This window comes from Homo sapiens, chromosome 12, assembly GCF_000001405.40.
Source record: "Homo sapiens chromosome 12, GRCh38.p14 Primary Assembly".
In the NCBI taxonomy this organism is placed as follows: Eukaryota; Metazoa; Chordata; class Mammalia; order Primates; family Hominidae; genus Homo; species Homo sapiens.
The window spans coordinates 675,905-701,410 of NC_000012.12; the positions used below are offsets into that span (position 1 = coordinate 675,905).

General features: G+C 44.1%; 2 long non-coding RNA genes across 7 annotated transcripts in view, besides 4 other annotated features; one reads left to right on the plus strand and one right to left on the minus strand.

The window, feature by feature from the left end:
• The window catches only part of LINC02455 (long intergenic non-protein coding RNA 2455), a 44,021-nt gene that overhangs the window by 3,313 nt on the left and 15,202 nt on the right, over nt 1-25,506 (minus strand). Inside the window, exons 2-3 of the long non-coding RNA NR_187480.1 lie at nt 8,091-8,309; nt 5,848-5,991 (exon numbers count right to left, since the gene is read on the minus strand). This is a non-coding gene — a long non-coding RNA (long intergenic non-protein coding RNA 2455). The remainder of the gene's footprint in view (nt 1-5,847; nt 5,992-8,090; nt 8,310-25,506) is intronic.
• Nucleotides 6,615-6,844: an enhancer, noted in NCBI's record as "active region_5783". NCBI's record gives its function as "activates an Ori minimal core promoter by ATAC-STARR-seq in GM12878 lymphoblastoid cells {active_cell/tissue: GM12878}" and the evidence as "EXISTENCE:reporter gene assay evidence [ECO:0000049][PMID:35858748]".
• Nucleotides 9,421-9,540: an enhancer, noted in NCBI's record as "active region_5784". NCBI's record gives its function as "activates an Ori minimal core promoter by ATAC-STARR-seq in GM12878 lymphoblastoid cells {active_cell/tissue: GM12878}" and the evidence as "EXISTENCE:reporter gene assay evidence [ECO:0000049][PMID:35858748]".
• Nucleotides 9,811-9,900: an enhancer, noted in NCBI's record as "active region_5785". NCBI's record gives its function as "activates an Ori minimal core promoter by ATAC-STARR-seq in GM12878 lymphoblastoid cells {active_cell/tissue: GM12878}" and the evidence as "EXISTENCE:reporter gene assay evidence [ECO:0000049][PMID:35858748]".
• Nucleotides 13,522-13,571: an enhancer, noted in NCBI's record as "active region_5786". NCBI's record gives its function as "activates an Ori minimal core promoter by ATAC-STARR-seq in GM12878 lymphoblastoid cells {active_cell/tissue: GM12878}" and the evidence as "EXISTENCE:reporter gene assay evidence [ECO:0000049][PMID:35858748]".
• Nucleotides 13,862-25,506, plus strand: part of LOC101929432 (uncharacterized) — a 38,521-nt gene continuing 26,876 nt past the window's right edge. For 5 of the 6 annotated variants that reach the window (XR_007063153.1, XR_007063152.1, XR_931541.3 and 2 more), the window contains exon 1: nt 13,919-14,133. This is a non-coding gene — a long non-coding RNA (uncharacterized LOC101929432). Of the gene's footprint in view, nt 14,134-25,506 lie in introns of all 6 variants that reach the window. The other variant, XR_001748951.1, reaches the window with a different exon arrangement.

A 25,506-nucleotide genomic window follows, 5' to 3' on the forward strand; every position in this document is an offset into this window, starting at 1 on the left:
TCATTTTTGCAGATAAAACAACTGGGGATCAGAAAGTTTAAGTAGCTTGCCCAAGTTCATACAGCTAGTCAGGGCAGAGACAATATTCATACCTGAGTCTTTCTGGCTTCAGGTCTGTGCTTTTAACATTGCAGCACATTCCCTCTAATATTAACTTTTTTTTTTTTTTTTGAAACGGAGTCTCGCTCTGTTGCCCGGGCTGGAGTGCAGTGGCACGATCTCGACTCACTGCAAGCTCCGCCTCCCAGGTTCACGCCATTCTCCTGCCTCAGCCTCCCGAGTAGCTGGGACTACAGGCATGAGCCAGTGCGCCCGGCCCTCATATTAACTTTTATAAATTCATTTAAAAATTATTAATAAAGTTGAGATTATACTATACATAAAATCTTATATTGCATTTTTTTTCATTTTATATCACGATTGTTTTTTCTTCCTCTGTTATTAAACAGAGGAGAAAAACTGCGGCTATTTATGAGAAAGAGTGAAGTCTAAATGACAAAGCTCTGAGAAGAATTTCATTGCAAGATTAGATTAAATACAAAACATCAATGATCCAAAGCAGGAGCACGTGGTCAGTGGAGACTTGGCAAAGGCTAGGCTGCTGTATTTAACCCACAGCCCCCGACTGATAAATAGAATATAAACATCTCACTCTCCCTGCTCTGAACATCCTCCACATTAAAGAGGATACCTTTGCAGATCCCCGACAGTCAAGATTTCTGTCCAATTTACTTTTCACAAAAGTAAAAGTTTCATTGTAAAATGAAAGCAATGGGTCCTTTTTCAAGCATAAATAATATTATATGGAATATAAGTTTCAACCTCCTCCTTACACACACACACACACACACACACACACGCTCGAATACCCTTATGGGGGTGTGCAGCCCCGTCTTCCTTGGCAATCACTGAGTTATATGTAAAACAGAGCCAGTACTGAAGGTAATATTAAAAATGTTACTATGCACCACTGCAGACTTTGGGAAACTGACTTACTCTCTCTAAGTCTGAGGAGCCATGTGTGTAAAATAGAGCTCATAAGAGCTACCTCAACAGAATGAGGAAAGAACCTAATGGGTAGGCTTTTCCTGAAGCTGGGACTTCTAAGCCAAGAGTCAAGCTTAGGTTACTGCGCATTAGATTTTCTTTGTAGGCCTTAATTCCTCAACGAAAACTGCAACCATGGTTAGGGTCCCTGGGATCTGGGGCTGAGGAACTGGGGGAGAAGAGGAGTAAGGCCTATTCTTGTACCCATCTCCTTTTGTTTGTCACAGTTCTTATTTTCTAGGGAACTGTGGTTAAAAGGAAGACAGAGTACAGCTACCTTTTAGGGAGAGAAAAAAACCAAAACACAATCCTCAGCTTTCAAGGTGTATGAGGGAGAGAGCACCAAGGTAGTGATTTACCCCTGAAGTCAGCTGAGTCTTGGGGAATTTAAGCAGCTAAGGGACACAAGCTTCAGGCCACAGAAAGTGAGGACCACTGGGGCAGGAAAAAAAATCCCTCTTCGTTTGGTGTTAAGTTTCCACCTATCAAAATGCGTCTTTCTAGATGACTTGCTGCCCTTTGCTGGCAAGCTCTCCCAATGTTGTGCAAAGAGATTTAATAAGAAATAACAGGCTGGGCATGGTGGCTCAGGCCTGTCATCCCAGCATTTTGGGAGAACAAGGCAAAAGGATCACTTGAGCCCAGGAGTTTGAAACCAGCCTGGGCAACATAGCAAGACCCCGTCACTACAAAAAACAAATAAAAATAATTAGCTGAGCATGGTGGTAAATTATAGTGAGCTATGATTATGCCACTGCACTCTGGGTGACAGAGCCAGACCTTATCTCTAAAAAAAAAAAAAAAAAGGCCGGGAACGGCGGCTCACAGCACCCAGCACTTTCGGAGCACTTTGGGAGGCTGAGGCGGGCAGATCACCTGAGGTCGGGAGTTTAAGACCAGCCTGGCCAACATGGAGAAACCCTGTCTCTACTAAAAATACAAAAATTAGCCAGGCGTGGTGGCGCATGCCTGTAGTTCCAGCTACTCAGAAGGTTGAGATGGGAGAATCACTGGAACCCAGGAGGCGGAGGTTGTGGTGAGCTGAGATCAGGCCATTGCACTCCAGCCTGGGCAACAAAAGTGAAACTCTGTTTCAAAAAAAAAAAAAAAGAAAGAAAAAGAAAAAGAAAAAGAGGGCCGGGTGCGGTGGCTCATGCCTGTAATCCCAGTACTTTGGGAGGCCGAGGCAGGCGGATCATGAGGTCAAGAGTTTGAGACCAGCCTGGCCAACATGGTGAAACCCCGCCTCTACTAAGAATACAAAAATTAGCCAGATGTGGTGGTGCATGCTGTAATCCCAGCTACTGGAGAGGCTGAGGCAGGAGAATAGCATGAACCTGGGAGGCGGAGGTTGCAGTGAGCTGAGATCGTGCTATTGCACTCCAGCCTGGGCAACAGAGCAAGACTCCATCTCAAAAAAAAAAAAAAAAAAAAAAAAGAAAGAAAAAGAAAAAGAAATTAAAAAAAAACATGATTAGACTTTAGATACATACAGTGCCTGTCCGGTGTTCCCCCCAAATCTGTCTCCTGAGGCCCAGCAGGCACGTAACCCCAGGTCACTCACAGTGAATGAGGAAGGGATGGCGATGGGTGGGCCCCTGTGTTTGGAGGCTCTGACGCTGTTCTCTCATGCACTCTTCCCACTGTGCCCCAGCTGGGAGTTTTTTTCTCTTTCTGCTCTTTACTAGCACTCCTCTGGTGCCCTTTTCTCTCTCTCTTTTTGTACCTTCTTCAAGAGGCTGAGGTCAAGCCCTTTTCTCATTAAGACTAAGTAACCTGCGGACAGAACCTCTGTGTTCTCCAAATGTTTTCCTATAATGTCGTCACACATGGGTCACAGGACGACCCTGCGTACCCCTTTATTTCACAGACCAGGCTGCGCCAAGAGCCCATGGCCAAACACTAGCAAAGGACAGAGCCACGGCTTCCACGTGAGTCGTGGACATCGACTCTCCCTGTATTCTTTCCTCTGTTCCTTGCTGCCTTGCTCCCCCAGGCATACACACCTCCTATTCCAGGATACCCTTGCCCTTGGCCAAGCCTCCCTCTTCCTTCCTCGTCCATTCTGTTCCTCTCCTTCCATCAGCAGTTCTTCCTCTTTATGCTTTTCCATCACAGCATCTGGCCACGTCCTCCCCCATTTTCCACGTAAAGCTTCAGTTTTCTAACACTTTCGACTTGACTTTGAAAAGCTTGCAAGTGGGAAAGACCCTTATGCTTTTCTGCCTTGGAATTTTCCCCGCCCCCTTTACTGCTTGAGATGAACATCTACTTGAGAAACTGAGAATCCTTATCATCACAGTGGGTTACATTTTGGTTTTACTTCTCATTATGATTTTTGAATTATTAGTATAGTGTAAGTTCATTGCAGAATATTTGGAGAATAGAGAAGGGAAAAAATACCGTAAACAACGTCATAATCCCAACACCCCTGCACTTAGTCTATTTTAATAACGATGATGTTTTAAGAAGAAATTGACTCTCCACTTACTCCTATAATTACCACACTATTTTTGCACTTAAGAATGTCTTTTCAGCTCATGGTCCCTTTGCAAGACACTACTGTCCATTCATGAGCACAGGGCACCATTGACTGCTCAGCCTTGGTCTGTTAGAGAGTAACATAAATTCAGTTTCATTTAAGGAACTGGTCAGCTTATTTTAAACACTTCCATTGCCTTCTAGGTCAAAGAAGCCCTCTGTGAGAAGGGCATTTGGACCGGCTGATCTTTGGATAACAATAACTGTTACTTAGGGATAGAAGGAATATAGAAAATGAGTCTATATATATAGACTCTTGAACCCAGGATTTTGTCACCAGCCTGGGCAACATAGCAAGACCCTGTCTCTACAAAAAATAAAACAAAAAAAAAAAAACAAAAAAAACTTTTTTAAATTAAAAAAATTTGAAATAAAAAAATATGTAGACTCATTTTATATATTCCTTCTATCCCTAAGTAACCCCCTCCATGAACAGAGGATGTATTCTGTACTTGCCTAAATTGCAAGAAATGTTTGAATGGCTAGATCTGGAAAATGTTGTGTTGGGTTAAGCACAGTCCTGAGCTCAGGAGTCTAAGACCAACCTGGGCAACATGGCAAAACCTCGCCTCTACAAAAAATACAAAAATTAGCCAGGTGTGATAGTCCCAGCTACTTGGGAGGCTGAGGCAGGAGAATCACTTGAACCCAGGAGGCAGAGGTTGCAGTGAGCCAAGATCGTGCCATTGCACTCCAGCCTGGGCAACAAGAGTGAAACTCCGTCTCAAGAAAAAAAAAAAGGAAAAACATGAACAGCCCAGCAGAGAAATGGGCAAAGAATTTGAACAATACCATGCAGCAGAAAAAGAAACTCAATGACCAAATATGAAAAAAGGCTCCACTCACTAGCAACCAGGGACATACAATTTAAAAACAACACTAAGATACAATTTCACACCCATGGAACTGGCCAAAAGTAAAATGTTTGACAATAGCAAATGTTGGCAAAGAGGTATGAAAATGAGAACTCTCATGCACATCTGGCAGAAGTGTAAATGACAAGGTCATTTGTGAGAATAACTTGACAATATCTAGAAAACTTGAAAATGTCCATAGTCCGGCTGGGCGCGGTGGCTCACACCTGTAATCCCAGCACTTTGGGAGGCCGAGGTGAGCGGATCACAAGGTCAGGAGTTCAAGACCATCCTGCCGAACTTGGTGAAACCCCCATCTCTACTAAAAATACAAAAAAGTAGCAGGGCGTGGTGGCGGGCGTCTGTAGTCCCAGCTACTTGGGAGGCTGAGGCAGGAGAATGGCGTGAACCCAGGAGGCGGAGCTTGCAGTGAGCCGAGATTGTGCCACTGCAGCACAATTGTGTCACTCCAGCCTGGGTGACAGAGCGAGACTCCATCTCAAAAAAAAAATTAGCCAGGCGTGGTGGCACGTGACTGTAATCCCAGCTACTCAGGAGGCTGAGGCAGGAGAATCACTTGAACCCGGGAGGCGGAGGTTGCAGTGAGCCAAGATTGCGCCATTGCACTCCAGCCTGAGCAACAGGGTGAGACTCCATCCCAAAAAAAAAAAAATTGTAAATAGTTTGTTCATTTGTAGGAGAATAGATAAATAAATCACAGTATATTTCTAATGTGGAATTCTATATAACAGTTTAAATCAATGAACTAGATCTATATGATTCAGCATTGATAAGTCCTGAAAATTATTGACTAAAAATTGTACATTATAAAAGGATGATCCCATTAACAAATATTTTCTAAAATATGCAAATGAATACCATCTCTATTACAGTGTATTTGTAGTGAAAATATAAAATAGGGTCTAGATACACGTCACATTCATGTGGCTGCTTCTAGCGGGAGAGGGAAGCAGTTCTGGGACTGTGATAGTCATTAGGCCTCTTTAAGAGCCTTTCTGGCCAGGCGTGGTGGCTCACACCTGTAATCCCAGCACTTTGGGAGGCCGAGGCAGGTGGATCACAAGGTCAGGAGATAGAGACCATCCTGGCCAACATGGTGAAATCCTGTGTCTACTAAAATACAAAAAAAAATTAGCCAGACGTGGCGGTGTGTGCCTGTAATCCCAGCTAGTCGGGAGGCTGAGGCAGGGGAATCACTTGAACCCCGGAGGCGGAGGTTGCAGTAAGCCGAGGTCGCACCACTGCACTCCACCCTGGAGACAGAGCAAGGCTCCATCTCAAAAAAAAAAAAAAAAAAAAAGGAATCTTCTGGATTTCCTTCCAGTACATGGTAGGATTGTATGTCCTTACATTCTTTGAAGTTAGGCACAACCACATGACTTACCGTGGCCAATACATGTAAGTGGAAGTGTTACTTTTGGGTGGAAGATCTAAGAACGATATGCACAATTTACCGAGCTCTTCCCTTTGCTGTAGTGATCATCAATGTTTCAGATTCAGTGTTTCAGTCCACTTCATCCGCTGGGTCCTGGAGTGAAGACAGTGTATGATAGTTTCCAAATGACCCACAGTGAACATGAGGCATGACTGAGAAATGGATCTCTGCTTCCTTAAGCCACTAAAACTGTGGGAGTATATGTTTGTTACTGTAGCATAGCTAGCCCATCACATTGATACAGGGACTTCAACTTTATCTGTAATGTTTCATTCCTTCTTTTTGTTTTTAAGGTCTAGAGAACATATGACTAAGTGTTAACATTTGTTCATTTTGAATGGAGAGTGTTGAGTCTTATATTACCCTCATTCTTTTTCGTTTTTTGTGAACATTTTTTTAAAGTCCCCTGGAATTGGCCGGGCATGGTGGCTCATGCCTGTAATCCCAGCACTTTGAGAGGCTGAGGTGAGTGGATTGCCTGAGGTCAGGAGTTCGAGACCAGCCTGGCCAACATGGTGAAACCCTGTCTCTACTAAAAATACAAAAATTAGCCAGGTGTGGTGGCAGATGCCTGTAATCCCAGCTACTCGGGAGGCTGAGGCAGGAGAATTGCTTGAACTCGGGAGGCAGAGGTTGCAGTGAGTCCAGATGGCGCCACTGCACTCCAGCCTGGGCAACAGAGCGAGACTCTGTCTCAAACAAAAACAAAAACAAAAACAAAAACAAAACAAAACAAACAACAACAAAACACCAATTCTGATATGCATGTTCTTCATGTTAAGCCATCTCAAACCTCTTCAGAAAACAAAAGTGATAAAGTGTGAATCCTCTGTCACGTCATCTCCTTTTCAGGGCCTCCGCCCTGACTATGCTTCATTTCTCCTACAGCAAGGGGACCTCGGCTGCAGGGGAAACCTGCTCATCAGTCCTTAACACGGCCACTGCGCTACGTAAAAGCCTAGTGTGAGCAGGGTGAGCCTGTAACGTGGGATTGGTCCTGACCTCTCACGTTGGTATAATAAAGGAGGGCTCTCTGTGGAAAGAGAGCTTTGTGTCTACTTCGTATTTGTAAAACAGATGCTTCCATGACTTCCTTTTCTTCCCACACAGTATTTTATATTAAATATCTAAATGAGAAACACAGAGTCAAGATCGCTGAAATGGCTCAGCAATACACCTCACCTATAAATCAAAGCAAAGGAACGCTTCAGCAGTGAAAAACAGTCTGTCCCAAGAGACAGGATACTTCTCTTCTATTTGTGGGTATGCTATTGTCCTGCCATGTGACCTGGCCTCTGTAGGACTTCACGTCCTTTCTGTATAATATGACATTTCTCCTAACACTAACTTTCTATCAACACTTTCATTTTAAAAATTAGAAGTTATTATTTTCTTGTATTATTTTAAGTCCTCAAAATTAAAAAAAAAGAAAAATTACGAATTAAAAAAATAACTTGGCCGGGGGCAGTGGCTCACACCTGTAATCCCAGCACTTTGGGAGGCCGAGGCAGGCGGATAACCTGAGGTCAGGAGTTCAAGACCAGCCTGACCAACATGGAGAAAACCCGTCTCTACTAAAAATACAAAATTAGCTGGGTGTGGCGGTGTGTGCTTGTAATCCCAGCTACTTGGGAGGCTGAGACAGGAGAATTGCTTGAACACGGGAGGTGGAGGTTGCGATGAGCCAAGATTGCACCATTGCACTCCAGCCTGGGCAACAAGAGCAAAACTCCATCTCACAAATAAAATAAAATGAAATAACTTAAGAACCAAATAGAGTTGAAATATTACACATTAGTAAGTATGTGATCAAAGGCAGGCAGTTCCCCAGGCGTGTAGCAACAAGTGATACAGGAATGAAATCCTAGTCCCCAGGGTGGGACTAGGGTGATATGGGGGTAGAATGATTTCGGACATGGGATTTGTTTTTGTTTTTGTTTTTGTTTTAGCATTCCAAAAGCAGCTTTCTTTTATAACATAAAGAAATCAGAAGAAGGCTTTCAAGACAGTATGATCAACTAAGACGCTATTTCCCAAACTAGTGCTCTGAGGGACACTATCTTTAGAGTTCCTAAGTAGGTATACTTAATGCTCACATGTGGAAAATTATGTATGCTCTATCTCCCTCGGAGAATCATCATGCATGTTATCTTATGAAAGACTGAGAAATCCTACAGAAAAAAAAAACCCACCTATTTTAACTTTGTTTCATCCGGCGTTCACAAATGCATCTGTGCATGGATCACTTTTTTGCTCACTGCCATCACCACCTTCCACGTCAACACGGGGAGTGCTGCGCCAAGGCAGCGTCTTGGCCTGTGAATCACAAGCCACGGACTCTTTTGTGTGTTTCTGCCACAGCATTGCTGAGTAACCTGGTCAGCCCTCTGTTGGGGTCTTGATTTCTCCACCTGAAAAACGAGGACGATAACACTTGTCCACACTTAAGAGAGATGAGCTAGATAATGTCCATGAGGGCTTTGACCCTTTAAAGCAGGTTCTATAGAAACAATGTTATTATCTCAACCACACAAGCACGATGGGATAACAAGTCACATCATTAGATTCTATTATACACACCCGGACCCCGCAGAGGCACCACACTTAGCTTTCTGTCCTGGTCCCTGAGGGCTTTACATACATTTCATATGCTCCAGTAAGCAAACCCATTCCATGCTGGTTCCTGCTGCAAACAGACCAAAAAGGAAAGAAAGGAAATACAGAGAAGCAGACAAAGTGCAGAAATAGAGAATGCAGGAACAGCAATGGTTAACAGTGACTGAGTACTTACTAGGTGTTACCCACGTGCAAGGCAGTTGAAACACAGTGTTTAAATCATCCCATCTAGGGCTGGGTGCAGTGGCTTACGTCTGTGATTCCAGCACTTGGAAGGCCGAGGCAGGAGGATCATTTGAGCCCAGAAGTTTGAGACCAGCCTGAGCAACACAGTGAGACCCACATCTACACACACAGACACGCAACACACACACAGACACACACACACAAACTGACCCATCTAGCCCTCACCAAAATCCTAAGGAAGACACACTTATTATGACAATATTGGAGGTTAGAGAGTGTGGCTTGCCCAAGGACATACAGGTATTACCTGAACAAGCCTGCCTGATTCCAAAGCCTACATGACATTGTTTCCTAAGGTAGTACACATAAAATAATCTTAGGTGGTAAAAAAAAAATTATTTTAATAGTTTTGCATTTTAATGTATATTTGAAAAAACATCATATGTATTGCAAAGCCATGGTTCCATTAAAAAATATCATAGGTGAAGATAAGAAAATAAGAAAGTCTAATTAAGAAAATAATAGTACAACTGATATGTGGACACGTCAAAAATCATGAAGGTGGTGTGCTAGTGAATGAAGCTGGGGAATCATTGCAATACATCCTTCTACCTTCCAAAAACCTTCTACCTCCCAAAAAAGAGAAGGTAAGCCAAAGCCCAGTTAGATTCACCTTAACCAGGCTTTTTGTTTGTTTTATTTTGTTTTGTTTTGACTCTCACTCTGTCACCCAGGCTGGAGTGCAGTGGCGTGATCATAGCTCATTGCAGCCTTGAACTCCTGGGCTCAAGAGATCCTCCTGCCTCAGCCTCCTGAGTAGCTGGGATTACAGGCGTGTACCACCATGCCTGGCAGACTCACATCAACAAGCCTTTGAGCTTGTTTCTGACTCCTCTAGGCTCAAGTGCAAGAGAGGAAATGAAGTTGAGTGAAGGCTGAAGGTTGGCAACGGTTGCTATGTTTATCTGCGGTGGGGAGGTGGGGGCAGAGAGGCATGTCTGTGATTGTGAGATCTGATTCACAGAAAATCACAGACTGACAAGCACCATCTCCTACAGAGAAGGAAACAATATCTTTAAATTCTTGGCAACCCTCTCCCTGACCTTCCAACTGTGCACAGCTGCCTGGTTCATCTTTCAGCTCTGTAGAGAAGGGGAAGGTCTTAGTTAAGACTTCTTGGTTGCAAAAGCAACCCACTCAACTAGTTCAAGTCAAGCAGAAAAAAGAAAGAAGGGTTTTTGTAGATACTGGGTTTTGTACAGACCACCAAAAGATGGGAGCTGGAGTGGGAGTCAGGACCCATGACTGCTCTTTGTTTTTTGGGGTCTCTCATCTCTGCTTCTCTGAGGTTCTCCTTCATTCTCTCTTTCTGAGCTTCACCAGGCATGACCATCTGGCCCTAGCCTTACATCACTTCTTTTTTTTTTTTTTTTTTTTTTTTGAGACAGAGTCTTTCTCTGTCACCCAGTCTGGAGTGCAGTGGTGCGATCTTGGCTCACTGCAAGCTCCGCCTCCCGGGTTCACGCCATTCTCCTGCCTCAGCCTCCTGAGTAGCTGGGACTACAGGCACCCACCACCACGCCCGGCTAATTTTTGTATTTTTAGTAGAGATGGGGTTTCACTGTGTTAGCCAGGATGGTCTCGATCTCCTGACGTCGTGATCTGCCCGCCTCGGCCTCCCAAAGTGCTGGGATTACAGGTGTGAGCCACCATGCCCGGCCATCACTTCACAATTCTAGCCCCTACCGGACAAGGCCCAGTGCTTCCAGGCCTCAATTCTAAGCTGCCATTAGCAAGTCAGATTGGCCCAGCTAGAGTCAGGAGTTCACTGCTGCACAGTGCATTATAGCTAGGGTAGGTCACGGTGTAAGCAATTAACAGGTCCTTCTGAAATCCAGCATCCTCACACTCAATGGTTCCTATGATTTCTAATGGGCAAGAGCTGGGTCAACTTCCCTGATACTGTGGCCACTATAGTCCCAGCTTTCCTGCTCTTTCAGTACGGCAAGTTGTATTTTGACATTTGAAATAAAGCATTGGGTTTCCTGCATCAGTAACAATGCTTCTTTCATTCTACCAACTTTGGTCACCTTGAGTCTTGAAGACGATTGATACTTACAGGGCGATAAACATGTAATCATTTGGCATAGAGAAAAAGGGTTAAGAAGCTGTGCTATCAGGAATGGTTATAGAGTACCCACTGGCACCATGTAGGGGGGCTCTGGGAACAGCTGAAGTGATGATGTTGATTATGATGCTAAAGATGATGGTAACAGCAATAAAAGAATTGAGAAGGATGGGTCTCCTGAAAAAACATAAGAATACAGATAGAGAAAAGGAGCACAAATAATAGATCTCCACGTAGTGAAAATAATCTTGAGCTAAGGACTCAAAGACTTGGGTTCTAGACTTGTCTTTGTCCCTTAACTACGTGAGTTAAGATCATTCACGTAGTGATCTTAGACTAATCACTTGGCTAGTTGTGGTCCATATCTGTAAAAATCGAAATGACTTTCTAAGCCAGAAATTTCTGGGATCCTACGGTCTATAATTCTATGCCTGGAGGATAAAGTGGATCTTGGAATAAATGAGATGATTAAAGCCAGGCGAGGATTAGCAAGGTCTGGTTTCTTAGGAGATGAATCTTCAAGAGAGATTCAAAAGGTGTGAGGACAGCCTTTGGTGTGCAAACCCAAAAGTATCTGAGAAAATCTCATTCAAGCCAGTCGCAGTGGCTCAGGCCTGTAATCCCAGCACTTTGGGAGGCCGAGGTGGGTGGATCATGAGGTCAGGAGTTCGAGACCAGCCTGACCAACATGGTGAAACTATACTAAAAATACAAAAATTAGCCGGGCATGGTGGTGCGCACCTGTAATCCCAGCTACTCAGGAGGCTGAGGCAGGAAAACTGCTTGAACCCAGGAGGCGGAGGTTGCAGTGAGCCGAGATCGCACCACTGCACTCCAGCCTGGGCAACAGAGTGAGACTCAGTCTCAAAAAAAAAAAAAAAAGAAAGAAAATCTCATTCAATTTAAAAAGTATATTTTGCCAAGGTTAAGAATGCACCCATGACACAGTCTCACCCCAGGTGGTTAGGATACAGCTTGCTTTTATACATTTTAGGGAGATATGAGACCTCAATCAATACATGTATGATTTACATCGGTTTGATCTGGAAGGGTGGGACATCTCAAAACAGGGGGCTTCCAGGTTATAGGTAGATTTTAACATTTTCTGATTGGCAATTGGTTGAAGAGTTATTATCAATAGAAAGAAATGTCTAGGTTACAATAAGGGGTTGTGGAGACCAAGACTTTATCGTCCAAGCAGCAGGCTTCAGAGAGAATAGATTACAAATGTTTCTTTTTAGACTAACAAGACTTAAGATCTGTGTTAATGTTAATGCTGGTCAGCTTTTCCTGAATTCCAAAAGGGAAGAGCATATATGAGGAATGTCAGACCCTTGCTTCCCATCATGGCCTGAACTAGTTTTTCAGGTTAACTTTAGAATGCACTTGGCCAAGAGGAGGGATCCATTCAGATGGTTGGAGGGGGCCCTAGAATTTTATTTTTGATTTACTGGTGGAAGGGAAAAGGCAAGGTCTGGGATAGAAGAGAGGGCCCAAGATAATGGCTTGGGAGTATGCTGATCTAAAGGGGAAAAACTGAAAATGTAAGCAGAGAGTTAATTTGGGCCAAGTTTAAGCACTGCAACTTGGAAGCATAGATTCAAGTTGCCCTGAATGTATGCTCTGATTAGCAGCAGTTACAAGAAAGTTTTTAAAGGAAAAGAATAGACGAGTTCCTAAATTGTTTACCAAGAAATTACATTCAAATGACATAAAATATTCATTGGCTATACATTTTTCTTTGTATCAAAAATTCCAGGAACATGAAGACAATGGGTGAAGCAGCTAGTCTGAAAACTACAGGGAAGAAAAGAAAGAACAGGCCGGGCACAGTGGTTCATGCCTGTAATCCCAGCACTTTGGGAGGCCGAGGCTGGCGGATCACGAGGTCAGGAGATAGAGACCATCCTGGCTAACACGGTGAAACCCCGTCTCTACTAAAAAATAGAAAAAATTAGCCAAATGTGCTGGTGGGCGCCTGTAGTCCCAGCTACTCAGGAGGCTGAGGCAGGAGAATGGTGTGAATCTGGGAGGTGGAGCTTGCAGTGAGCCAGGATTGGGCCACTGCACTCCAGCCTGGGCGACAGAGCCAGACTCCATCTCAAAAAAAAAAGAAAGAAAGAAAAGAAAGAACAAAATGTCTTCAAATAATTGTCCCTGGGTATGGGTGGGGGCATGCATGTGATTGAAGCCCCATACTCATTTCTCTCTGGGCCAGATAAATTTTGCATACCTCACAAAGCTCTGACTGCTCTTAGCTATTTTTATTTTTCATTTCTCCCTTTCGATCAGAATTTTTCTCTTCTAAAAGTATTGATGATCAGCCGGCACAGTGGCTCATGCCCTGTAATCCCAGCACTTTGGGAGGCGGAGGCGGGTGGGACACCTGAGTCGGGAGATCGAGACGATCCTGGCTAAGATGGCGAAACCCTGTCTCTACTAAAAATAGAAAAAAGTAGCCGGGTGTGGTGGCATGCGCCTGTAGTCCCAGCTACTCGGGAGGCTGAGGCAGGAGAATCGCTTGAACCCGGGAGGCAGAAGTTGCGGTGAGCAGAGATGGTGCCATTGCTGTCCAGCCTGGGTAACAAGAACAAAACTCCACCTCAAAAAAAAAAAAAAAAGTATTGAGGATCAGCATTTTAGATGTCTGTCCCACATCACCATGAAGCACATCGAAGGGAAAGAAGAAACAGGTACTATGGCTCAAGAACATAGAGAAGTCTCAAGTCCAAACTGATAGGCAGCACAAAGGTGAGGGAGGAGAACAGGGAATTAGGGTAGCCAAGGGTTGGGGCAGAAGCAAAGGAATAGCAGGTGCAGCCAGTTCTCATAAGCAAGAGAACAGCAGGTGCAGCCAGTTCTAGGCAAGATTGTGCAGCGTGCAGGCCACATCTTCACTTCTGTGGTAACAAGACAGAAGTTTCCACTTCAGCTTCTGATTGACTGCAGGCCAAGCCTCCACTTCAGCCTCTGATTGGTCTGAGGCCAATCCTTCATAGGGTGTAACCAATTGGAGGCCTCTAAAGGGCACCTGGGGTGTTGCCAAGTTCTTTCAGCTTAATAAAAACCCTAATTGAGGAGTCTCTAGCTGCTTGCTCACACCTGCTTTTACTCTGTGAGTTGTACTTTTGCTTCTTCAATAAATCTGTGCCTTTGTTACTCCGTTCTTTTGTTGTTTTGCTTGTGCGTTTTGTTTAATTCTTTGTTTGAAACCCCAAGAACCTGGACAACTCACAGTCAAGACCTTCCGTCCGGTAACAAAGCAACAGACCTCAGTCATGTCATCTGCTTACAAAGGAGCCACGGTATGTTGAATCACTTCTTTTTTCTTTTTATTATTTATTTATTTATTTATTTATTTATTTATTTATTTATTTATTTATTTGAGACGGAGTTTCACTCTTGTTGCCCAGGCTGGAGTGCAATGGTGCGATCTCAGTTCACCGCAACCTCCACCTCTCGGATTCAATCAATTCTCCTGCCTCAGCCTCCCGAGTAGCTGGGATTACAGACAAGTGCCACCACACCCGGTGAGCTTTTTGTATTTTTAGTAGAGACGGGGTTTCACCGACCTCAGGTGATCCGCCCGCCTCGGCCTCCCAAAATGCTGGGATTACAGGTGTGAGCCACCGTGCCCACCCCTGCTGAATCATTTCTAAGCATCTAGCTATCATGATTAGTTTTTTTTGTTGTTGGCTTTTGTGAAAGGAAAATAAACCTCAGGACCCCAAAGTCACTAGTCCAAAGGGAAGACTCAAGCTGCGAACTGCATCCGGCAAACATGACCCCCGTTCTATTCCTAAATAAGATAGCTACAAAGAGAAAAAAAATCACATACATCCGTCACAATTTGCCCAAAGGGAAATTCCTTGTGGACAAAGGACAGCCGGAACTCAGTCATCCCTCTGCTCACGTGAGACAAAAGCAGGCATATCTAATTACTTCCTTTGTCCTATTGTCTCACTAAGCTAGACTAAGGCATAAGTGACTATTCCTGTAAAATGTGTATTCAGTGAAAGGCTAATCAGAAACTCAAAAGAATGCAACCCGCTGGGTGCGGTGGCTCACGCCTGTGATCTCAACACTTTGGGAGGCCGAGGCGGGTGGGATGACCTGAGATTAGGAGTTCGAGACCAGCCTGGCCAACATGGTGAAACCTTGTCTCTACTAGAAATACAAAAATTAGCTGGGTGTGGTGGCACACACCTGTAATCCCAGCTACTCAGGAGGCTGAGGCAAAAGAATCGCTTGAGCTCAGGAGGCTGAGGCAAAAGAATCGCTTGAGCTCAGGAGGCAGAGGTTGCAGTGAGCCGAGATCTCACCACTGCATTTCAGCCTGGGAGACAGAATGAGACTGTCTCAAAAAAATAAAAATAAAATAAAATAAAGAATGCAACTGTTTGTCTCTTCTCTACCTATGACCTGGAAGCCTGCTTTGAGTTGTCCTGACTTTCAGACCAAATCAATGTACATCTTACATATATTGATTGATGTCTCACATTTCCCTAAAATGTATAAAACCAGGCTATATCCCAAACACCTTGGGCACATGTGTCACAGGTGTGTCCTTAACCTTGGCAAAATAAACTTTCTAAATTGATTGAGACTTGTCTCAGGTACTTTTTGATTCACATTTTAGACACTTAGAAACATAAGACATAATCAATTTAAGAATTAAAAATATTACGCAATCGGCCAGGCATGGTGGCTCACGCCTGGAATCCCAGCACTTTGGGAGGCTAAGCGGGCGGATCACGAGGTCAGGAGATCGAGACCATCCTGGCTAACACGGTGAAATCCCGTCTCTACTAAAAATACAAAAAATTAGCCGGGCGTGGTGGCGGGCACCTGTAGTCTCAGCTACTTGGGAGGCTGAGGCAGGAGAATGGTGTGAACCTGGGATGTGGAGCTTGCAGTGAGCCGAGATCACGCCACTGCACTCCAGCCTGGATGACAGAGCAAGACTCAGTCTCAAAAAAAAAAAAAAAAAAAAAACAGATTACACAAATAAGGTCAATTATTATTCGAGACAGGATCTCACTCTGTTGCACTGGCTGAAGTACAGTGGTGCAATCAGAGCTCACTGCAGCCTCACCCACCCAGGCTCAAGCAATCCTCCCACCCCTGCCTCCTTAGTAGCTGAGACCACAGGCACATGCCACCATGCCTGGCTAATTGTTTTTTTCTTTTTTAGAGATGGGTCTTACTATGTTGCCCAGGCTGGTCTTGAACTCCTTGCCTCCCAAAGTGCTAAGATTACAGATGTAAATCATAGCAATTGGCCTTAACATAACATTATTTTAAGAGTTTAAATTCCTGAAAGCAATTTTGAAATTATTATACAAGTACCCTCCCCAATGTGTTCCTCAGTTGTCCTGGGTCCCAAGTACCCATATGGCACTCAGAATGGCTATAAAGGGCAGGGACCATCTGGGTCCTGAATTTACATACCAGGTATAGAGCTCAGGACAGGACCAAGATGTAAAGATGCCTAAAAAGGCCAACCCTTCCCAGCATGTCCCCAGGAGGCACAGCTGGGCCAGGGAGGACATATTGGGTTTGGCCCTGCCCTGCAGCTAGTGTCCTTGGTGCTATGGACATGCCAATGTCTTCAGGCCTCACCAAGGCCACCTGTCTAGACCCCAGAACCTAAAGGCTCAAAACCAAAGATGTTAGCTCACTGTAAAATGTGTGCAAGGATTGGGGGAAGCCCAGCAGCCAGCCCTCACCACTTTAGGTCACAGACAAATTCAGCAGGTATCAAAAATATCACAGAAGCAACAGGGTTTTTTTTGTTGTTTTTTGGGGTTTCTTTTTGAGACAGAGTCTCACTCTGTTGCCCAGGCTGGAGCCCAGTGGCACGATCTTGGCTTACTGCAATCTCCGCCTCTTGAGTTCAAGTAATTCTAGTGCCTCAGCCTCCTGAGTAGCTGGGATCACAGGTGTGTGCGACCACACCACACCCAGCTAATCAAGTAATCCATCCACCTCTGCCTCCCAAAGTGCTGGGGTTATAGGTGTGAGCCACCACACTCAGCTGAGGCAACAGTTTTATAATCTTAAAACATCTAGCAGAGACGGTATACATCTGTTTGACCAATAGACCACGTAAAAATGTTTGAACTATATTTAGTCTTCAAACTTTCTAATTTAATTTTAACAACAATTTAAAAACTAGTTTTATTTACCAAAGGTTACTAAAAATCGTGTGAACCTGAAAAGCATTTGGGCTTATTTACTTAGTTTATGAGTGCTCACTTATTTATAAGTCAACTTGGTATCATGTAGACAATATAAAAACACAGCATGTACACAGATACACATAAAAAATAGACACTGCTGGACATGGTGGCTGACGCCTGTAATCCCAGCACTTTGGGAGGACGAGACGGGCGGATCATCTGAGGTCGGGAGTTGAGACCAGCCTGACCAACATAGAGAAACCCCATCTCTATTAAAAATATAAAATTAGCCGAGCATGGTGGCACAGGCCTGTAATCCCAGCTACTTGGGAGGCTGAAGCAGGAGAATCGCTTGAACCTGGGAGGCGGAGGTTGTGATGAGCCGAGGTCGCACCACTGCACTCCAGCCTGGGCAACAAGAGCGAAACTCCATCTCAAAAAAAAAAAAAATAGACACAGACACAAATTAAGATTTTTATAGCTTTGGCTGTGTGCAATGGCTCACGCCTATAATCCCAACACCTTGGGAGACTAAGGCAGGTGGATCACTTGAGGTAAGGCGTTTGAGGCCAGCCTGGCCAACATGGCAAAAACCTGTCTCTTTTAAAGATACAAAAATTAGCCTGGCATGGTGGTGCGCACCTGTAGTCCCAGGTACTCAGGAGGCTGAGGCAGAAGAATCACTTGAGCCTGGGAGGCAGAGGTTGCAGTGAGCCAAAATCATGCCATTGTACTCCAGCCTGGGTGACAGACCGAGACTGTCTCAAAAAAAAAAAAAAAAGATTTTTACAGCTTTGAGTTTAAAATTTGTCATCAGACAGGTAAAACTCACTAGTTTAAAAGGACAGTTGGATTAAATTCTGTCTCTCTAAATGGAACAGATTAAAGTTTTCACAAGCCCTTATGGAGTTTCAGAGAAAACAGGGAAGCAAATTGCGTCTCAAAGGAGAGAGAATGTACGCATTTTCAAGAAGGAGTTTACATGTGTTAAAGGAAGATTAAAAGTGGATGTCAAGGTAATGCAAAATCATAGGAATTCACTAGAAAGTTGTGCAAGGAAATACATAGATGGGCCTAGAAAAAAATTCAGAAACTGAGGTAGGAGGCAGGACTCAACTCTGGAGGTGGGGCTTGGACACCAGACCAAACTGAAGACTAGCTCAAACAGGTCCAGGGAGGAAGCAGCTTTCCATAAGACACACCCACCAGTGTGCCATGTCAGTTTACCATCGCCATGGCAACACCCAGCCGTTACTGCCCCCTTTCATGGCAACAACCGGAGGACCCAGTAGTTACTCCCCTCATCTTAGAAAGTTCTACATAAACCACCCCTTAATTTGCATATAATTAAAAGTGGGTATAAAGATGAGAGCAGAACCACCTCTGAGCTGCTACTCTGCTACTCTGAGCTACTCTGGGGCAGCCCTGCTCCACAGCAGCAGCCCTTCTGCTGCTGCTGTACACGGCCACTTCAGTAAAAGTTGCTGAGTTCTTTCCTGGGCAAAGCTGGGAACCCTCCCGGGCTAAGCCCCGATTTTGGGGCTTGCCTGTCCCGAACCAAAACCTTTTCAAAGTAGCCAGCCAAATGCCAGAAAGTTGTATTTTGAAGACTAATCTAGTTGGATAGGTGGATTTTTAAATTTAGTTTTCCATTTCTTAACTGGATTACTGAGCTTAGGGTGGAGCCCATTAACAAATAGGGCCAAGAAAGTATTTGCTGTTCTCAGGGCCTAATAATTAAACACGTGAAAAGCAGGCACAGCTGGGAAGGTGATCTAGATCTTTAAAAATCAAGAATCCCACTTTTACTTTGAATCGCAGGTCCCCAAAAGAGGAAAGAATGCCATGGGTCCAGGGCCACACAATGTTTCCACAGTGCTCCTTGCAACATCAGCCCATTCTGTGGTCAGCCCATCCCCCACAGGAGGTCTTACCCCTTGTTGGAGAATGTTTTCATAACCTCCAAGCATTCGAACTTCACCTTTCTTATCTAAACACATAACGAAACAAGTAGCCCCCTGCAGTAATAACCATTCGCTGCATTTGCTGTCAGCTACTTCTAAAACTGCAGCTTTTGCCAGTCACTTGCCAGCCACTGCACACACAAAGGTCAAATTCTCTCTCAATACAAAGTAATCCTTTTGTACTCCAAAAGCCAGAGACCAGGAAACTCAATGCAAAAGAGAGCAGAGCTTTAGACCTGAGAAAAGTATGCCCACAATTCTCAGGACTCCACAAAAGAAAGAGAAGACCACAAAATAGAGCATGTGTGTGTGCGTGTGTGTGTGTGTGCATGTGTGTGCACACGTGTGCGTGCGTGTGTGCGTGTGTGGTTGCGTGTGTATGCGTCCGTGTGTGTGTCCGTGTCTGTGTGCGTATGTGCATGCGTGTGCGTGCATATTCATGCGCGTGCATGTGCGCGTGCGTGAGTGTGCGCTTGCGTGTGTGAGCGTGCATGTGTGTGCGTGTGCGTGTGTGGTGCCTTTTCCTGTGTTCCTCAAGAGGTCTCAGAAGTCTCTGCTAGAAGTCTCTAGATTTCTTCACGTGGTATCAAAGATGGCCAAAGAAAGGAGGAGCGGAAGTGGAAGGAAATGGAAGAACAAGGCCTAGCGGGGCTAATTTGGAAAGATTTTAAATTTTCTGAAAGACCAATGAAGTTTTACGTTTTTCTCAGCAAAATCATGCCAACAAGAAAGGAAGCAAATGGAGAGATTAAACTTTTTTTTTTCAAAAGGAGTTTCAGTTGACTGAAAAAGAATTCCCAGAAACGGGATCCCAGGGAGAAAAAGCAGAAAGGCCCTTTTTGTCAATAAAAATTATGCCCTGAATATCAGCTTTTAATTAAGCTGATTTCTAACCATAGAGCTCTTTAAAAAAATCTTTTCAAATCTTTTATCAGATTTCAGCCAGGACAAGTAGAAAGTAGGTCTCCCATTCTGTTTGGTTCTAAAATAGCTTTTTTTTTTTTTTCTGATCTATCAAAGGACCTCCGTTTTGGCTATTGTAATTTAGGGTCATCTGAAGTCCTGTGGGCCCATTTGTTCAAATGTCTGCAAGACAAAGCTCCGTAAGTGTTATACAGAATATCAGCCGATGTTTCCAAGGGAGGCTGCGTCGTTAGAGAGTCTTCAGACTTGAATAGGTTTGTTACCCATAATTTAGAGGCCTGAATCACTCACAGCCAAGTTCTGGGCTGTGTTTTGGGTCAAAATGTGCTGCTTGTGAGTGTGACTCCTTAGTGTGTCACTACTGAGTTGTGTCCACGTTTTTATGTGTCTCAGAAACATTGATCCCCAGAGGGTCACAAAGTCCTCACGAGTGCTAAGTGGCCAGCCTTTATGTGCACTTGTTGGCAGAGTGAGAGAGATTACGGATGTTCTCCTGAGAGAGGAAACCTTTTAAGGCACGAAAGTCCCAATACCCCCAGCAAGTCGCTAATTGTTTAGGGTGCCCTAACGGGCTGGAGGGAGCGAGTGCCTTTTATCTTTGGAGTGAAGAATCCACTCTCATATATTAGAAAAAGGGAATCTAAGAGAGGTTGGTCATGCATAAAAGTTTGATTTCCAAAATGAAAGGTCATGATGTAACAATGTCTTGGCCGAAAATGGAAGCAAACTGCTAACTCCAGACCTGTGAGTTGCCAGAAAAATATCCTGATCTCCTGACTTAAACAGGAAAGTCAGAGACAGAACCCTCATTCAGAGAGAGTCAAAGAGAAACCGCTCAAAGTCTAGACCTCCACCAAAGAAACGGGAGTCTGGATTCAGGAGAACTCACCCGCAACACCAATGAGACTTCTGAAGATGGAGAACGCAATGGGTTTGTGCTAGTACCAACCACTGCCTTCAGAGAAAAACAATGGGTGGTTGCTGTGGGGGATTCACTCTGAATCCTGCTGACTTACGCCAGCTATATCGACCTAAAGGAAAATACATTCTGAGTGGAGAGTTTACCTGGGCCAAGTTTGAGGACTGCAACCCAGAAGCATAGATTCAAGTTGCCCTGAATCTATCCTCCCAGTAGCAGCAGTTGTGTTTTTTTTTTAATCTAGTTATTTATTTATTGACTGGGTTATGAGACTGGCTAAGTTTTGTATTTTTGATAGAGATGGGGCTTTCACCATGTCACCCAGGCTGGTCTCAAACTCCTAGGCTCAAGTGGTCCACCCCCCTCAGCCTCCCAAAGTGCTGGGAATACAGGTGGGAGTCACTGCACCTGCCTACAAGTGGGTTTTTCTTTTTTCTTTTCTTTTTCTGGAACTTTATTTCTTCTAACAGGTACAAGTGGTAGTAGCCTTTTCCTTCTTTTAAAGGAAAAGAAAAAGGCAGTTCCTAAACTATTTACCAAGAATTTACATAAAAATAACCTAAGATATTGATTGGCTATACATTGTTATTTGTATCACACATCCCAGGAACATGAAGATAATGGGTGAGGCAGCTAGTCAGGAAACTATAGGGAAGAAAATAAAGAACAAAATCCCTTTAAACAATTGCATCCGGGGCATGGAGGTGGGGTTTGGGGGATATAGGTGGTTGTGGGGAGGGTGACTTAGAGACCCCTCTGAGCTATTTTTCTTTTTTCAAGTAGGAATAGAAGTGTGATGCTGGAGAAGGAAACCTGGACCAAAATGTGGTGTGGGTAACTTGTTTCTCTTTTCTGCGTCTCAACTTCCTCCAGCTCTATTTTTCAGAGAAGGAAGTTGCATGGGAAAGGAAATGGCAATCAGGTTTGTCTAGCTGAAGCAGTCTAAGCTGAAGTATAAAAAAAATTAAGGTGGGCTGGAGCGAGAGGAAGGCTGGGGAAAGCTGGTGAGGTATCTTGAAACCTGTGTTAAGGAATTTCCCTGGCTTAGAACAGGGCAATTGGTTTTTACCATTAAAATCCCTTTGGTTTTTACCATTAAAATTCCAAAGTTACAGCCCTCTCTTCCTCTTTGTAAATGTTGGTTAGCCACTACTGGACATTACCAATCCTCAGGGGAAACTAGTTGAGATTAGAAGAAACAATTGTAAAAAGCAAAGTAGAGGTTCCTCTTCAAAGACTTTCCTCCCCATCTAATTAGGAATAAATAGTAACTTCTCTTAGAAGCAAAATTTATTCAAAGACCTGTGTTAATATTCTTAAATATCTCTAGCCATAATAAAGAAATCAATGTACTTTATGTTCTTAGTTCCCACAATTTAGCCTAAATATTTGCCCTGCCATGCTTCTACTGGTCCAAGCAAGCATTAGGTCATAGCCTGTTCTTCTTCCTTATTTGAAGGTGTTTTTACCTTTCTCAGCATTCCACAAGTTACTTCCTCCTTCCTTTGTCCTCTTCTGCCTTTGCCTCTCTTAAAAAGTTCTAAGTTGCTAGCCAACTGGGACAAATACAGAATGTGAGGTCCTGTTCCAGCCAATGGAAACCGACACAGCAGTAGGGTGGACGCATCAGATTATAAATGACCCTGTCTCCTTTGTTCAGTGTACTCTCGTGGCAAAACTGCTGGCGAGTGTACCCTTTCTGCAGAAAGTGAAAATGGCCTTGCTGAGAAAATTAAATTTATGTTAAGTGCTATTTCTTTACAGCACCAGGGAACAAGCATTTCTAACACAACTTTACACACTGGTAGTAATAGCAGGTCTGCAAGGTTGACTCCAGCAGAGAAAGTCAGGAAGACAGTTAGTGCATGCAGCCAAAGAACTACAAACATAGGGAGGAGCCGGAATAGTCAATTTCAAAGAAAAGATCCTTCCAGTACACAGAATTACAATCTCTGAACACAACTCCCTGGCCTCAATTTTGATTTTAATTGACTGCATGGCTCAAGATAAAGGGCTGGTAAATTGAGACCTGAATTCTCCTTCAGCAACAACCAGGGAGAGCTGGAGGAATGGGTGGTAGTATACTGTAATCACCCATTTTTCAAATTAAGTCTTTAAGGCCCTAGTAAGCCAACTGAAAGGAATTCTTAGTTCCTCAGGCTAAAAGAGCACAGAAGTTGCTATGTGGGATGGGCACCTAGTGCCTCACGCCTATAATCCCAGCACTTTGGGAGGCTAAGGAGGGAGGATCACTTGAGGCCAGGAGTTTAAGACCAGCCTGGGCTGGTGAGACTGTCTCTACAAAAAATAAAAAAATTAGCCAGGCATGGTGGCACATGTCTGTAGTCCCAGATACTTGGGAGGCTGAGAAGGCAGGATTGCTTGAGCCTAGGAGTTCGAGGCTACAGTGAGCTATGATTGTACCACTGCACTTCAGCCTGGGTGACAGAGCAAGACCCTGTCTCAAATAAATAAATAAATAAATAAAATTAGCCAGGTGTGGTGACACATGTCTGTAGTCCTAGCTACGTGGGAGGCTCAGGCAGGAAGACTGCTGGAGCCCAGGAATTTGAGGCTGCAGTGAGCTCTGGTTATGGGACTGCACTCCAGCCTGGGTGACAGAGTGAGGCCCCATTTCGATAATTTAAACAATGATTTTTTAAAAAAATGTTGCTATGTGGGCTGGGAGTGGTGGCTCACACCTGTAATCCTAGCACTTTGGGAGGCCAAGGTGGGTGGATCACCTGAGGTCAAGAGTTCAAGACCAGCCTGACCAACATGGTGAAACTCCGTCTCTACTAAAAATATAAAAATTAGCTGGGCATGGAGGTGGGCGCCTGTAATCCCAGCTGCTCAGGAGGCTGAGGCAGAAGAATCACTTGAATCCAGGAGGCAGAGGCTGCAGTGAGCCGAGATCACGCTACTGCGCTCCAGCCTGGGTGACACAGTGAGACTCCGTCTCAAAAAAAAAAAAAAAAAAAAGTTGCTATGTGAAGGTAGAAGGAAAATAGGCAGAAGGTAATGAGTTCAGAGGACTTGCTTTTAATTGTATATTAAAGTGTAAGAACTCTCAAATATTCTGCATTCTTTTTGAATGACTTTAGTGTGCTTTTCCTCCTGTAGCTACGTTGAGACCAGAGTACCAGCTTTCCTTGCAGAGAGAGAAAGGGAGTGAGAAGGGGGAGAGAGAGACAATGATGAAAATGAGAAATGATGATGATTGTTTCCTCTGAGATAAAAACCTGAGCTCTCTGCTAAGGAAAGAAAACTCTCTCTCTAGGATTTTTTTCTTCACCCTTCATGTCTTATTCAGGAAGGAATAATAAAAGAAAGGAAGACAAAGAATGCTGACATTTACTGAGGTCCTTTTGTGAACTAGACACTTCCTCCTTCATGGTTTCTTTTAATCTCCACATTTTTATACATAAGGAAACTGGAGGGTCAGAGTATTTAAGTAACAAGTTCTCTCCATTATAAAAGGCAGAAGTGGGATTCATCTGTCAAGGCCTGGCTCTTTCCACACCAAAGGAAAATCAATCAGGCATCCTACAGGCCGTTAGCCACTAGAGGGGCCGGATGAGTTGGGTGGCTTAGAGCACTGTTCTCTAACTTGAGCACGAAGCAGAATCTCCTGGCCTTTTAAAACACAGAAGACCCCACCTCTGAGTTTCTGGTCCTGTAGGTCCGGAGTGGAACCAGACACTTTACATTTCTAAGAAGGTGTCAGTCCATCCAGAACCACACCTTGAGATTAACTACCTTAGAGCTAATAGTCTCCAGGAATGGAAAACGCACTTCCCAGTTCATGTCCTACTGGCAGTGGAGTCAGGGAACGTGACAGTGTCACTCTTGTATGGGAAGGCCAACAGATCCCCAAGTGCCCTTAGAATAGAGTTCCCCATGTTCTGAGAGTTGATAGAAACATGTGTTCTTGACTTCTGATTCCACTGCAAGATTTCACCCACAAAATATTTTCATTCTTGAATGTGCATGGTTACAATCAATCCTCGTTATTCCTGGATTTCATATTGGGAATTTGCTACTCTCTGAAATTTATTTGGAACCCCCAAATCCATCCTTGCAGTACCTTCAGTCGTTCACAGACATGTGCAGAGAAGTGAAAAGTTTGAGTCACTCAAACCAAGGTGATGCACATTCCTGCCGCAGTCAAACAAAGCCAGGCCCTGCCTTCTTGTTTTAGCTCTCCACGGTAATGCGGTGTCCTTCCTATTTGCAGTACATGTAATGTTATGTTTTGACATTTTTGTGCTTTTTTTGGTGATTTTGCTCTTTAAAAAATAGTCCCCAAGCATAGTGCTGAAGTGCTGTCTACTGTTCCTAAGTGCAAGAAAGCTGTAATATGCCTTACGGAGAAAATATGTGTGTTAAATGAGCTTCATTCAGGCGTGAGTGACAGTGCTGTTGGCCATAGATCTAATGTTAATGAATCAACAATATATAATAAGTATCTTTAAACACAAACACACATAATTGATTGGTTGATGAAAAATGTGATCAGAGGCCGGGCACAGTGGCTCACGCCTGTAATCCCAGCACTTTGGGAGGCTGAGGCAGGCAGATCACGAGGTCTGGAGATCGAGACCATCCTGGCTAACACGGTGAAACCCTGTCTCTACTAAAAATACAAAAATTAGCCGGGCTTGGTGGTGGGCACCTGTAGTCCCAGCT